This window comes from Homo sapiens, chromosome 16 (assembly GCF_000001405.40).
Source record: "Homo sapiens chromosome 16, GRCh38.p14 Primary Assembly".
NCBI lineage: Eukaryota > Metazoa > Chordata > Mammalia > Primates > Hominidae > Homo > Homo sapiens.
This window is the reverse complement of record NC_000016.10, coordinates 3,363,769-3,379,525: the sequence shown is the minus strand read 5'-3', so window position 1 is coordinate 3,379,525 and position 15,757 is coordinate 3,363,769. Positions and strand designations below refer to the sequence as shown.

The following is a 15,757-nucleotide window of genomic DNA, read 5'->3' as shown; positions in this document are numbered from 1 at the left end:
CAATTCTACCACACCCACTTTACAAATTCTTTACATTAAGTCCCCTCTTTGAAACATCAAGAATGGTTTCTGTTTTCCTGACTGGACTTTATTATCACATGTGATGCTAAGAGTTTGGATTTTATGATAAGTATAATGGGAAGCCACTGAATAATTAGGCAGGGAAAGACACAATTCTCTTATTCTGGCTGCTGTGTGGAGAATAGGTCAGAAGAGCTAAAAGTGGTAGCAAGGGGCAGGGCGCGGTGGCTCACGCCTGTAATCCCAGCACTTGGGGAGGCTGAGGCGGGCGGATCATGAGGTCAGGAGATCGATACCACCCTGGCTAACAGGGTGAAACCTGTCTCTACTAAAAATACAAAAAGTTAGCTGGGCATGGTGGTGGGTGCCTGTAGTCCCAGCTACTCGGGAGGCTGAGGCAGGAGAATGGCGTGAACCCGGGAGGCAGAGCTTGCGGTGAGCCGAGATCAGGTCACTATACTCCAGCCTGGGCAAAAGAGTGAGACTCCATCTCAAAAAAAAAAAAAAAAAAAGTGCTAGCAAAGAGACCAGGTAAGACTTTCTTAGCTGTGAGGTCTAGAAACTCAGTTGTCTAGTCTAGTGATGGCAGTGGATACAGAAAAAAGTGGATGGGTTTTGTACATTTTGGGCGCATAGTCAACATAATGTAGCGGTGATAGATTAGTTATGGAGGTGAAGGAGAGAGTTCTCATCTATGTCTATTACTAGGGATTTCCTATTATTATCTGGGTCAATGGGTGAAACTCAAATAAGTGGAGGTCAGAGAGGGAAAAGTAACTCACAGAAAGAAAGGAGAGATACAACCCCACATGGAAAGCAGGCCCTCTAAGTGGTATCTTTGAGAGGGAGAGTAGATTATCATCTCTCTTCTAGAAATGGAAATACTTCTTAGAGGGAGGAAGGATGGGCACACAACAGTCTTTGGCTCAATCCACAGTAAAGACAGAATTATAATCCAGGTTTCCCAGGGTGCAGAGGGCTCTCTTCTTACTAAGTCTTTTATGTAACTCTTCTAGGAGGGAATGTTTACTACCACTTAGCTTTTGGGCTGGGTCTTGGGGGCTAGGAGTCCAGCCAGGTTGGCTCCTCAATGTCCTCTGGTCCATTTCTTCATGGAGGGGACAGGGCTTTGGCACATGGCTGCTGCTCTCCTTGTGACGTTCATCTGGAGACACTTCAACTTGCTGTGACACAGCTCTGGATGTGCAAATAACCCAGCTCCTCAGGCTGCACAGCTATTGTTTTGGGCACCTTGCATTATCAGTACCAGGTTAGGTATTTTCACTAAACTGCTGTTTATCAAGGATGGTGAGGAAGGTCTTTGTTTCTTCAGCACCCTAGTGCATACCTTCCACCAGGAGGGTACACTCAGAATGACAGTTCAGGGCTGTTTCTCTCAGTCAATTGACCACAGGCCCTCACTATTTGACTTTCCATTGCTTAACAAGCCCAATACAACACTAACCACTTGAGAATGTATTGGAAGTATGTTGTACAAAAGGCAAGACCCCAAGTCTACAGATTTCCTCTTATGTCTAATACTACCCTCCAGGATTGGTGCAGCCCTTCAGAGGCCCATTAAAAAACCAGGTCATTCCCTGGTAAGTTACACAGTGGGCTCTCTACACTGTTTCCATACCTCCTTCCCTCACTGAAACATTTTAACTAGTTGATATAATTTTTTTTCAATTGACACTATTCCTTTTTTCCAAAGATTCCTAACCAGTCCCTGTAGACTGGATCAATCGTCTCGCTACAACCCAGAGAAGTTGGGCAGAGCCTACTGGCCGTCACTGGTCCATAGTTCTACCATGGCTCCTCTCAGCTGACAGTGGCTGTCAGACGGTCAGAGCCAAACAAGAGCTGGGCGCCTCATTCACCTTTCCTCTGGCTACCTCTCTGCTGCTTCTCTTGTGAGTTCAGTCTGGAAACAGCCCAGAACTTCTGGGATCCTGGCACAAAAACGCACCCATTTCATAGCTGACTTCATCACAGGCAGAATCCTTGGCTCCTCACAGTCCTGGAAATAGACTCAACCGTAACTTGGTTTCTGGGTAGAGACCAAGAGAAGGACTGAGTGTTCTTCACTTACAGAGAATATGGGACTCTAGCAAGCGGCCCCACCATTCCCCATCGTAGTCAGCCTGAAAGCTGTGAACTTGGTGTTGACCTGTGTGGCATCTGGAGGAAGCTGTACTCCTGCAGCAGCTCAGCCACTACCCTTACAGTTGGCCATTCCAGGAGCAAGTCTGGAGTTTTTCATAGATTTAAGATTTATGGAGATTTGTAAGTAAAGTCTTGGTTTCCTGGTAGCCCCAATTCATACCTGCCCTCCTAGGTTAGGTGACTTGCACAGTGACTAAATGAAAGAGCTGGACATTTTCCCCTCATCTGTAATTTCTCTTAAATGAGGATTCCTAGATGCCACCACCAGAGATTCTGATTTGTCAGTCTGGGGCAGTTTTCCAAGTGCTTTTGTGTGCTTATGCCTGTTTGAGAGACATGAACCCCTTTCTTAGAGAGAGAGGACACTGGGGCCTAAGGTCAGTATCAGACAACGAATGAACCTCCAGCTCTGCAGATTCCAACAAAAAGTGTTAGTATGGTGCTGTAGTGAGGGCTTTGGAGTGAGACAAACCGGGTTTAACTTCTAATTTTGTTATAACCTATTGCTGTGTGTCTTTGGACACTTACGTAAGTAGGTAAGTAAGTACACAAGTACTTAACCTTTCTGAGCCCAGCCTCTTCATCTTACAGTCAGTGATGACAATGTCTACCTCTCAGAGGGGTTTAAAGGGTTAAGTGCTTTCATGTGTGGAAGCCATTTACATGTAACCAACCACACTGTAAAAGCTTCACATATGCCAGCTATTACTGGATATGTCTTGAGTTTTACCAGGCAGGATAAACAAGCGCCAAACAACCTCCAACAGGCATTACTGATGGCTACATCTACAACTCTCCCAACACCATATTCTTCAGTCGGTCAGTGAGTTCATTTGTTCATTAAATACAGTATGATAAAACTGATATTTATTTTGCCCAGGTATGTTTATAATGTGCCAGGCAAAGAGAGATATGGAAGACCTGGTCACTGCCCCAAGGGAGAGGAGCTAGATTTTGAACATAGGTCAAATCAATTCCAAAACCTTTCATTACTTCCATTTCACTTTCACTCAGTTTTTACAGTCTAAAGGTAGAAAAGGCAAAAAGAGACCCATTTAAAAAGAAAGAAAGAGCTAGGCGTGATGGCTCAAGCCTGTAATCCCACCACTTTGGGAGGCCAAGGCAGGCAGATCACCTGGGGTCAGGAGTTTGAGACCAGCCTGGTCAACATGGTGAAAACCCATCTCTACTAAAAATACAAAAATTAGCTGGGCCTGTTGGCGTGCGCCTGTAATTCCAGCTACTCAGGAGGCTGAGGCCGGAGAATCGCTTGAATCTGGGAGGCGGAGGTTGCAGTGAGCTGAGATCACGCCACTGCACTCCAGCCTGGGGACAGAGTAAGAGTCTGTCAGAAAGAAAGGAAAGAAAGGAAAGGAAGGGAGGAAGGAAGGGAGGGAGAAAGGAAGGGAGGAAGGGAGGAAGGAAAGGAGGGAGGGGAAGGAAGGAAAGAAAGAAGGAAGGAAGGAGGAAAGGGAAGGAGGGAGGGGGAGGAAGGAAGGAAAGGAAAGGGAGAGAGGGAAGGAAGGAAAAAAGAAAAGAAAAGAAAAGGGGAGAGAGAAGGAAGGAAGGAAGGAATCAGAGATCTCACTTGTTACCCAGCCCCGCTTACCTACCATCAAGGTAGTGTCTGTTGGAATCCCCAGTTGGTTTTTTTTTCTTTTACAAGTCAAGACTTTAGACCCAGGCACAGGAGATGGTGACATAAATTGACATGTCAGAAGTAGAATTCATACCCCCAAGCACCAGCAGAGAGCTCTGTGGGGCTGGCCAAGCACACAGTGGGGCTTCACCCGTTCGTTCACACCTTCCCTTTACCCTCTCACCTTGGCTCTTAGCCTTTGTTGAATATCTGGGCTCTGGACCATTTCAGATCTACTGTCATTCTTTCTCAATGGCTAAGCCACCTGACATCTCCACATGGGATCTTCTAGTCCTCTGGTATTAACAGTATCTTTTGATTCCGGCTCACTCTGTCCAGACTAAACTAATCCCTATAAACCTGTTCAGAAAACTTGCTTATCAGTCCAAATTAAAATCAGGTTCTCTTCCTTGGGTGCCAATAGGTCACCATGAATGTCCCAAGTGTCTGAGGAGTAATGAAGAAACCACAGTTGATTGTTGCCTGGCAAGGGCTGACCAAGATAGACAAGAAGTTGCTCTGCAGAGCCCTGTTTTAACTCCAGCCTCATGCCAAACTGCTCAACTACCTTTGGTGCTAGAAGTGGTTGAAGGACTCAGTGGAAAGTAATTCCATGAAATTAGGACATCCTACCCCCAAATAAGCCTTTAACAGAAGTCCTCTCCCACAAGTGTGCAGCTGCTGTCACTACATAAGACCTGGAACTGAGGACTGCTGTCTGCCTCTCTCTGGTCACCCTGCCTATCTTGAGGATCTGTAAGTAGTGAAAACTCTGAAACTTTCACAGTGTGGCTGTGGTGGTCTCACCCACCCCTGATGGTGAGACCACCCCCGAGGAACCCAGGCAGCCAGATCCCCTGCTGGTTTCTTCTTCTGGGGCCTCTGGTGGCTGCTGGGCACAGTAGCTAAGTTAATGGAGAAACCCAAAGAGTTCTGTGTAAAACACCAAGACATGACCCTTCTAGGGGCTATCATGGAATATGGGCCTTTCTGAAGGGAGGACTGGAGGACATGACAAAGCTTAGATAAGGAACTGAGCTGTCTCAGTCTGGCAGCTGCACCACCATTTCACCTGCTTCTTTCCCCCAATTCTGGTCATGACAGAACTGTACGGTCATGTCTATGATGTCACAGGCACTGATGAGCTCTCATCCCTGGATTCTTCCCCTTCCAGCCTGAGACTCTTTTGTGTCTCACCATTTCTTGGAGTCACTGGGTTCCTCTATAAGGCCTTATGGTCTGAATGGTCCTGAGTATGAGCTCTGGCTCTTCTCTTGGGAAAGTCCCTGAGGAAGGGGGCTTCATTGGCTCTAATAGGAGCTTGGCAACTCCCCCCATAATCCCAGAGAAAAAAAAACCCTATCACTGACACCCTACCTCATCCCTTCAGAAATCCCTGTATGGGCTCAGAGAGCAGAGGTATGGTAACAGAGATTCCTGAAAGCCAGAGCTAAACACTTGAACGTGGAGCGGGGCAAGTGCAGCTGAGCAGAACAGAATTAGAAGAGCAGTCAGATATTCATGTGGCCAAGAAGCACGTGAAAAAATACTCATCACTAATCATAAGAGAAATGCAAATCAAAATCCCCATGAGATACCATCTCAAAGCAGTCAGAATGGCTATTACTAAAATGTCAAAAAATGACAGATGCTGGTGAGGATGCAGAGAAAAGGGAATGCTTATACACTGCTGGTGGGAATGTACATTAGTTCAGCCACTGTGGAAATCAGTTTGGAGATTTCTCAAAGAACTTAGAGCTACCATTCAACCCAGCAATCCCATTACTGGGCATACAGCCAAAGGAATAATCGTTCTACCAAAAAGACACACGCACACATATGTTCATTGTAGCGCTATTCACAATAGCAAAGACATGGAATCAATCTAGATGCCCATCAATGGTGAAGTAGATAAACAAAATGTCATACATATACACCATGGGATACTACACCACCATAAAAAAGAATTAAATCATGTCCTTTGCACCAACATGGATGGAGCTGGAGGCCATTATTTTAAGCGAATTAACAATGGAAGAGAAACCCAAATAACACGTGTTCTCACTTGTAACCGGGAGCTTAGAAGTACACATGGATACAAAGAGGGGAACAGCAGACACTGGGGCCTACTAGAGGGTAGAGAGTGGGAGGAGGGTGAGGACTGGAAAACTACCTATTGGATACTATGCTCATTACCTCGGTGACAAAATAATCTGTAAACCAAACCCCCTCGACAGTCAAGGTCTCAGCACCACAGCTGCCAGGGACACAGAGCACATCAGGGTCCTGTTGGCTTAGGGCAGTGCAGGAAGGTCTGTGGCTGCTCCCACCCCAGATCCACAGCTGTCACACCGTGCAGCACAGTACCCAGCCCCAAGCTGGTCCCACTTTGGCCCCCTCCCTCTCTCTCTTTTTTTTTTTTTTTTTTTTGAGATGGAGTCTCACTCTGTCACCCAGGCTGGAGTATAGCGGTGCGATCTCGGCTCACTGCAACCTCCGCCTCCCGGATTCAAGCGATTCTCCTGCCTCAGTCTCCTGAGTAGCTAGGATTACAGGCACGCGCCACCCACACCCGGCTAATTTTTGTATTTTCAGTAGAGACGGGGTTTCACCATGTTGGTCAGGCTGGTCTCAAACTCCTGACCTCGTGATCCACCTGCCTGGGCCTCCCAAAGTGCTGGGATTACAGGCGTGAGCCACTGCGCCTGGCCTCTGGCCGTCTCTCGAGCAGAAAGCCAGCTGTATTGATCTGTCTGGGGGAGAGGTGTGACTCAGACACTGAGGACTTAACTAAAGTGCCCACACCTTGCTGGGCATTGCAATCCCTCCATCACAGAGCAGGCCTTTCAAAAACCAGCAGATTCTCATTCAGAGTAGGACCAGGTGAACATAACCTGCAGAGGAGAAAGGATGCATTTTACAGGAGACAAATCTCCCATCCTTAATATTGTCCCTCTTTGGGACAGCTGTTTAGACCCTAGGAAATAACCTTCCTCCAGAGAGTAAAAAATATTACCACCGTAGTTGGCCCAAAAGCAGCTACCGATTAAGAAAGCATTCAAGGCCAGGTGCGGTGGCTCACACCTGTAATCCCAGCACTTTGGGAGACCGAGGTGGGCAGATCATCTGAGGTCAGCAGATTGAGACCAGCCTGACCAACATGGAGAAACTCCATCTCTACTAAAAATACAAAATTAGCCAGGCATGGTGGTGCATGCCTGTGATCCCAGCTACTCGGGAGACTGAGGCAGGAGAATCGCTTGAACCCGGGACTCGGAGGTTGCAGTGAGCCAAGATTGCGTCACTGCACTCCAGCCTGGACAACAAAAGCGAAACTCCGTCTCAAAAAAAAAAGAAAAAAGAAAAAAAGAAAGCTTTCAAGCTCAACATCCAATTATTTTAAATCCTAATCACTCTATTGAACTCCTAACATTACATTAGACTAATCTATTACTTAATAGAAGCAATAATGTTAATATTAGTAACACGAAGACATTCTCCATTGCATAAGCTTATATCAAACCAGAATCCACTGATAGTTAACAGCCTAATATTAATAAAGAATAAATACCCTATTATTTATACCATTAATCCAACACAGGTATGCTCTAAGGAAAGATTACAAAAAGTATAAGGAACTCGGGAAATCTTACCCCACCTGTTTACCAAAAACATCACCTCTGGCTTCACCAGTATTAGAGGCACCGCCTGCCCAGTGACATATGTTCAACAGCTGCGGTATCCTGACATTGTAAAGGTAGCATAATCACTTGTTCCCTAAATAGGGACTTGTATGAATGGCCACACAAGGGTTCAGCTGTCTCTTACTTTCAGTCAGTGAAATTGACCTATCCATGAAGAGGCAGTATAAACAAATAAGATGAGAAGACTCTATAGAGCTTTAATTCATTAATGCAAATAGAAACTCAAAAAAAGCCTACAGGCCCTAGCCTACTATCTTTGCATTAAAAATTTTGGTTGGGGTGCCCGGCGTGGTGGCTCACGCCTATAATCCCAGCACTTTGGGAGGCTGAGACAGGCAGATCACGAGGTCAGGAGATCGAGACCATCCCGGCCAATATGGTGAAATCCCGTCTCTACTAAAAATACAAAAATTAGCTGGGTGTGGTGGTATGTGCCTGTAATCCCAGCTACTCAGGAGACTGAGGCAGGAGAATGGCTTTAACCCGGGAGGTGGAGATAGCAGTGAGCCAAGATCGTGCCACTGCACTCCAGCCTGGCAACAGAGCCAGACTCTGTCTTAAAAAATAAATAAATAAAAAACAAAAAAAATAAAAATTTTCTTTTATTTCAGAGCATAATTCAACCTCCAAACTACCTAAACTAAGACCGCACTAGTCTAAGCAAGTTAACACACACTGACCCAATAATTTGATCAACGGAATAAGTTATCCTAGGGATAACGGCACAATCCTATTCTAGGGTCCATATCAACAACAGGGTTTACAGCTTCAATGCTGGATCAGGACATCCTAATAGTGTAGCCGCTATTAAGGGTTCGTTTTTTCAACTATTAAAGTCCCATGTGATCTCAGTTCAGATCGGAGTAATCCAGGTCGGTTTCTAACTATTTAACATTTCTCCTAGTACAAAAGGACAAGAGAAGCAGGGCCCATTTCACAAAGCACCCTTGCCACCATAAATGATGCTGTCTCAATCTAACAAATCATCACACACTCTACCATCTTAAACAGTGTTTAAGATGGCAGACCCCGGCAATTACCTAAGACTTAAAACTTTAAAATCAGAGGTTCAACTCCTCTTCTTAACAATATGCCTATAATCAATCTTCTCCTACTTATTATTACCACTTTAATCGCTATAGTATTCCTTACACTCATTGAATGAAAACTCTTAGGCTACATACAATTACGCAAAGGACCTAACATTGTAGGTCCCCATGGACTGCTTCAACCATTCGCTGATGCAATAAAACTTTTCGTCAAAGAACCCTTACGTCCCTCAGCGTCTACTATTACCTTTTATACTACTGCTCCAACCCTAGCTGTTTTGATCGCTCTCCTCTTGTGAACTCCCCTCCGCATACCAGATGCTCTAATTAATTTTAATATAGGCCTCCTATTTATACTAGCCACATCAAGCCTAGCCATCTACTCTATCCTATGATCAGGATGAGCATCTAATTCAAATTACACACTAATCGGCACATTACAAGCTGTAGCCCAGACAATTTCATATCAAGTCACTCTAGCCATTATCCTTTTATCAGTTCTACTAATAAGTGGCTCATTTAACTTACATGCATTTATCACAACGCAAGAATTCCTCTGACTGCTTCTACCATCATAACCCCTAGCCATAATATGATTTATCTCCACACTAGCAGAAACAAACCGAGCCCCTTTTGAACTAACAGAAGGAGAATCAGAGTCAGTCTCAGGCTTTAACATCGAATATGCCACAGGTTCATTTGCCCTCTTCTTTATAGCAGAATATATGAATATTATCGTAATAAATGACTTAACTATTACCATTTTTCTAGGAGCACTACACACTATATATTCACCAGAACTCTATACCACAAATTTCATTACCAAGACCTTTCTTTAACCACCCTGTTTTTATGAATTCAAACAGCATATCTCCAATTCCGCTATGACCAACTTATATATCTTCTATGAAAAAATTTCCTACCGCTTACACTAGCACTCTGCATATGATGTATCTCAATGCCTATTCTAATTTCCAGCATCCCACCCCAAATATAGGAAATATGTCCGACACAAGAATTACTTTGATAGAGTAAACAATAAAGGTTTAAATCCTCTCATTTCTAGGACGAAAGGAATTGAACCCACCCCTGAGAATCCAAAATTCTCTGTGCTACCCATTACACCAAGTCCTAAAGTAAGGTTGGCTAACTAAGCTATCGGGCTCATACTCCAAAAATGTTAGTTATACCCTTACTGTACTAATAAACCCATTAGCTCAACTTATTATTTCCCTTACTGTTTTCACAGGAACTCTTACCACAATGCTAGGCTCACATAGATTTCTCATCTGAACAGGCCTAGAAATGAACATACTAGCTCTTATCCCAATCTTAATTAAAAAGATAAATTCAGCCAGGCGCAGTGGCTCACGCCTGTAATCCCAGCACTTTGGGAGGCCAAGGCGCGTGGATCACAAGGTCAAGAGATTGAGACCATCCTGGCCAACGTGGTGAAAGCCCGTCTCTACCAAAAATAAAAAAATTAGCTGGACGTGGTGGCGAATGCCTATAGTCCCAGCTACTCAGGAGGGTGAGACAGGAGAATCGCTTGAACCCAGGAGGCGGAGGTTGCAGTGAGCTGAAATCGAGCCACTGCACTCCAGCCTGAGGACAGAGCAAGACTCCGTCTCAAATAAACAAACAAAAAAAGATTTACAGTCTAATGCTTACTCAGCCATTTTACCCTTTTCCCACTTAAGTTCATTAATCGTTGATTGTTTTCAACTAACCACAAAGACATCAGAATACTATATTTAGTATTCGGCGCATCAGAGGGAATAGCGGGCACCACCTTAAGCCTTCTAATTCAAGCAGAATTAGGCCAACCAGGAACTCTGCTAGGAGATGATCAGATTTACGATGTTACTGTTACCGCCCACACATTCGTCATAATTTGTCTTTATGGTAATACCAATCATATTTGGGGGTGTTGGCAACTGGCTAGTCCCTCTGATGATTGGTGCACCTGATACGGCATTCCCCCGGATAAATAATATGAGCTTCTGACTTCTCCCCCCATCTTTTCTACTCCTACTTGCATCTTCAGTAGTAGAAGCCAGCGCTGGAACCGGCTGGACAGTTTATCCCCCTTTAGCAGGAAACCTAGCAGGAGCCTCTGTGGATCTAACCATCTTCTCACTCCACTTGGCAGGTGTTTCTTCTATTTTAGCGGCCATTAACTTTATTACAGTTATTAACATAAAACCCCCAGCCTTATCCCAATATCAACCACCCCTTTTCATCTGATCAGTCCTCATTCTGGCAGTCCTTCTCCTCCTTTCTCTCCCAGTCCTAGCCGCTGGCATTGCCATATTATTAACTGACCGTAACCTCAATACTACTTTTTTTGACCCTGCTGGCAGGGGTAACCCTATTTTGTATCAACATTTATTCTGATTCTTTGGTCATCCTGAAGTCTATAACCTTATCCTACCAGGCTTTGGGATAATCTCCCATATCGTAACCTATTACTCTGGAAAAAAGGAACCATTTGAGTATATGGGCATAGTATGAGCCATAATATCAACTGGCTTCTTAGGATTTATCATACGGGCTCACCATACATTTACAGTAGGAATGGATGTAGACACACGAGCATACTTCACCTCCGCCACTATAATTATTGCTATCCCTACTGGAGTCAAGGTCTTTAGCTGATTAGCTACACTGCACGGCAGTAGTATCAAATGATCTCCCACAATATTCTGAGCACCTAGGATTCATTTTCCCATTAACAGTAGGAGGTTTAACTGGCATTATACTAGCTAATTCATCATTAGACATTATTTTACAAGACATATATTATGGTGTGGCCCATTTCCACTATGTTCTATCAATAGGAGCGGTATTTGCCATCACAGGAGGCTTTGTCCACTGATTCCCCCTATTTTCAGGTTATATACTTAATCAGACGTATGCTAAAATCCACTTCATCATTATATTTATAGGTGTTAATTTAACCTTTTCCCCACAGCACTTCCTCGGCCTGTTGGTGTGCGTCGACGTTACTCTGATTAACCTGATACATACACCACATGAAATGTTATCTCATCAGTAGGCTCATTTATCTCATTAACAGCAGTCATATTAATAATTTTCATAATCTGAGAAGCCTTTGCTTCAAAACGAAAAGTTCTAACAATTGAACAAGCATCTACTAATTAACAGTGACTTTACAGCTGTCCACCACCTTACCACACATTCGAAGAGCCAATCTATGTGAAAACCTAAACGAAAAAGGAATTGAACCTCCAGAAACTGATTTCAAGCCAATCCCATAACCTGTATGACTTTCTCGATATTAGTAAAATCATTACATAACTTTGTCAAAGTTAAGATATAGGATAAACCCTGTATGTCTTAATGGCTCACCCAGTTCAGTTAGGCCTTCAAGACGCTACATCCCCTATTATAGAAGAACTACTCACTTTCCATGACCACACTCTTATAATTATTTTCCTAATTCAGTTGCTGCAACTCTTTAGAATCACCTCCTGCTAGGTCTGATAAAAACTCTACTCTGGAAACAGAATGAGGTCAGTGTCAGTTCGTTTCTACTTCACTTTCTTAACCCTAGGAAAGAAGGTATAGATTTCTCATGCCATTCAGTCCAGCTGCGTATATGGGACACAATGTTAACCAGTGGAAATAATACAGACTTTATCCTTCAGGTGAATCTGGTTTGAGTCCAAGCTCAACTCCATACTAAGTGATTTGGGGCAAATTATTCAACTCCTGTGATCTGCTTTTTATCATCTGAAGATAATAACAGCCACCTTGCAGGGCTGGGCGCGGTGGCTCACACCTGTAATCCCAGTACTTTGGGAGGCCGAGGCGGCTGGATCATTTGAGGTCAGGAGTTCGAGACCAGCCTGGCCAACATGGTGAAACTCCCGTCTTTACTAAAAATACAAAAAAGATTACCAGGGCGTGGTGGCGGGTGCCTGTAAACACAGCTACTCGGGAGAATGAGGCAGAAAAATCGTTTGGACCCAGGAAGTCGAGGTTGCAGTGAGCCGAGATTGCGCCACTGCAGTTCAGCCTGGGGGACAGAGCGAGACTCCCTCTCAAAAAAAATAAATAATAAATAAATAATACCCACTTTGCAGGACACAGGAAAAGAGTAGAAATATTAGTAAAGTATCTAGTCCAGTGCTTGGCACTCGGAAGTAAATAAATGGTACCTGATGGTAGTAAGAGAAACCCCAACTTGCAGGAACTTCATAGCATATATTACTACTTGACATGTAAGTTTAACGTCTGTCACCCCCCGCAAGAATGTGAGGTTTTTCAGCTCAAAGCTGAATTCTAGCATCTTGAATAGTGTTTAGTGCTAAACAGATATCTGGCAAATGAATGGGTGAAAAAAATAAGAGGAAGACTGGGCTCATCAGACCTGATTAACCAACTGCGCATCAAATACTTAAGCATTATAAAGAACACAAAATGAGGCCGGGCGAGGTGGCCCACGCCTGTAATCTCAGCACTTTGGGAGGCTGAGGCGGGCCAATCACGAGGTCAGGAGATCGAGACCATCCTGGCTAACATGGTGAAGCCCTGTCTCTACTAAAAATACAAAAACAAAAAATTAGTCGGGTATGATGGCAGGCGCCTGTAGTCCCAGCTACTCCGGAGGCTGAGGCGGGAGAATAACGGGAACCCGGGAGGCGGAGCTTGCAGTGAAGCCGAGATTGCGCCACTGCACTCCAGCCTCGGCAACAGAGCGAGACACGGTCTCAAAAAAACAAAAAAAGAAAAAAAGAGACAAAACTAGTCTTCCGCTGAGATGTCTCCAACATCTGCTGTCTCTCCATTTCCGCTGTCATTCCAGGGTAGGGTTTCAGAACCTCAGCACACTGACATTTTGAGCCAGATCGTTTTTTGAGTTCTTGGGGATGGGGAGTGGGGTGGGAACCCCGTGGACCTTGTAGAATGTTTAGCTGCATCCCTGGCCTCCACCCACTAGACGTCAGTAGCACCCCTCGGTAGTGACAACAAAACTGTCTCCAGACAGTGTCAATTGTGCTCTGGCAGGGGGGCGCTGGTTGAGAACCCCTGGTCTAGGGACATATTAGTGCCTTTGCTCACCAAAATTTTCCCTCCTGAAGTCCCCAAGACCTAATTCATCCTTTCCATAGATAATAAACACGAGAGACAGCTGGTCTCTATCCCTCCCAACCATGGAAGGGCACCTGAGCCTAGGTATCGGAAATGTGGAAGAAAAATTTCATGTCCTCAAGGAGTGCACCATCAAAGACAAAAACCCCAGGATGAGGATTGATGACGCCACTACCCCCATCTTCTTGAAGCATCCTAATCCTCTGAACTCTCCGGTCCTGTCTGTAACCTCTCAGGGTGCTCCATCTTAACCCGCCTAACGCTGTAATTTGTTTCTGGTGGGTTTATCCACTCCAACAGTCTGGGGGCTCGCTGAAAGTAAACAGCGTTTCTGTGCTGTCTTCGTGTCCCCACCGCTCAGCACAAGGGCGCAATCGAGCTTTAGGAAACGAGTGTTTTCTTAGCGTGAAGGGCAAAAGGCACCCAGCCCTTCAAAGGAGGCCTCACTGGGGAACCTGAACGGACTGGAGCTCCGAAGGGCAACAAAGCCGGCACTCCGGACTGCCACGTTCCCCACGCGTCCCCAGAGGACCCAGTTCACTCTGCATCACGCAGCCACTCCGAGTTTTTGCGTCCAGGAACCCAGAGTGCAATCTGAAAGTCTCAGGACAGAGAGCAGAGCCACAACCCTTAAGCCCCGCCTCACCAGAAAAGGCCCTCACGAACACGAATCGCCAGCCACGCCACCTTTTCTACTGCGTCACGCCGGAAGCTGTTGCGGAGCACGCCGGAAGCTGTTGCGGGGCACGCCGGGACCTCAAGAGGGCCAGAGGCATGCGCAGTAGCTAAGCCTGTAAAGAGAGGAGCCAGTCGCGCGAGTGTGGTTCTAAAGGACCGCCCTCTTCGCCTGGTTTCCGCCCTTCGCTAATTGACAGCAATTTCATTAATGAAGCCCGCCTTGCGTCATATGCTGAGACCAATCACAATGCCTGAGAACCCAGGGCCCGGATCCCGCTGGGCATGCCATCCTGTTTTACGCGTTAGGTGAGAGTAGCCCTGATAGAAAACGTGGCGCTTGCTGTGTGCCCTGCGTAATTGTAAACATTTACACACTAACTCATACTTACAGCAACCCTACTCAGTCAGTTATATTACCATTTTCATCTTCCAGACGAGGAAGCCAAAACAGAGTTTAAGTGACTTTCGTTGACTAGAACTCGTATCTAATCCAGTGGCTTTTTTTCCCCCCACTCTAAGTTGTTTTTATTTCTTAATATTAAGTAAGTACTGCAAAACGTTCTCACTTAAAACTGAAGTCTCCACGCCAGTAATCCCAGCATTTTGGGAGGCCGAGGCGGGAGGATCACTTGAGTCCAGGAGTTCGATGCTGCAGTGAGAGGTAATTGCCACTGCACTCCAGCCTGGGCGGCTGAGCGAGATTGTCTCAAAATAAATAAATAATAAATAAATACAAATGATTAACAAAATATATTCATACTTTGCCTCTGAAATTACACTCCCTCCCTAGAGAAAATAACTGTTACTGAGGCAGAGGAATAGGGTCTGGAGGCAGGAAACCTAACTGATTCACGCTGACTTCCTAGAACTAAATCAAAAGGAAAACCCCAACTTTCCCTTTCCCCACCTAAGTAAGGAAAGGACCCACTGAAAGGACTGGAGGCTACTCCCTTTACAAACTCCATCACCTCTTCTGCGTGGCAGACAAAAATTTGAAAGTATCAGATGCTTGCATAGCGTGTAACCTTTGTAACTTCACTTCAGCCTCTGGTTGCACAAAGCAACCTAAGGGAACCTAGGGCCGATTACGGGCCACTACTTCATTTACATAGGGTGTACACCAAGTGACCAATAGGAAACCTGTAGAGGGTGTTTAAACCCCAGAAAAATTCTGGCACATGCCTGTTGAGCCCCTATGCTCTGCGGGCTGCCACCTTGTGGAGTGTACTTTTGTTTTCAATAAATCTGTGCTTTTGTTGCTTCATTTTTTTCCTTGCCTTGTTTGTGTGTTTTGTCCAGTTCTTCGTTCCAAACGCCAAGAACCTGGACACCCTCCACTAGTAACATTACTAGTGTGTATATCTTTCTGGTTCTTAATATAT

At 45.1% G+C, this 15,757-nt stretch overlaps 1 long non-coding RNA gene and 5 pseudogenes across 1 annotated transcript in view, besides 2 other annotated features; 3 read left to right on the top strand and 3 right to left on the bottom strand.

Moving 5' to 3' along the window:
- Positions 1-14,411, bottom strand: part of LOC105371059 (uncharacterized) — a 34,555-nt gene extending 20,144 nt beyond the window's left edge. Inside the window, exon 1 of the long non-coding RNA XR_007064949.1 lies at positions 14,344-14,411. This is a non-coding gene — a long non-coding RNA (uncharacterized LOC105371059). The remainder of the gene's footprint in view (positions 1-14,343) is intronic.
- On the top strand, positions 7,243-8,473 carry MTRNR2L4 (MT-RNR2 like 4 (pseudogene); annotated as a pseudogene).
- On the top strand, positions 8,621-9,576 carry MTND1P8 (MT-ND1 pseudogene 8; annotated as a pseudogene).
- On the bottom strand, positions 9,783-9,928 carry MTND2P34 (MT-ND2 pseudogene 34; annotated as a pseudogene).
- MTCO1P28 (MT-CO1 pseudogene 28) lies at positions 10,280-11,807 on the top strand (annotated as a pseudogene).
- MTCO2P28 (MT-CO2 pseudogene 28) lies at positions 11,943-12,061 on the bottom strand (annotated as a pseudogene).
- Positions 14,039-15,238: an enhancer, noted in NCBI's record as "BRD4-independent group 4 enhancer chr16:3414288-3415487 (GRCh37/hg19 assembly coordinates)". NCBI's record gives its function as "activates an origin of replication core promoter dependent on BRD2, P300/CBP, MED14 and CDK7 cofactors, and independent of BRD4, by STARR-seq in HCT116 cells {active_cell/tissue: HCT116}" and the evidence as "EXISTENCE:reporter gene assay evidence [ECO:0000049][PMID:35650434]".
- Positions 14,275-14,344: an enhancer, noted in NCBI's record as "active region_10320". NCBI's record gives its function as "activates an Ori minimal core promoter by ATAC-STARR-seq in GM12878 lymphoblastoid cells {active_cell/tissue: GM12878}" and the evidence as "EXISTENCE:reporter gene assay evidence [ECO:0000049][PMID:35858748]".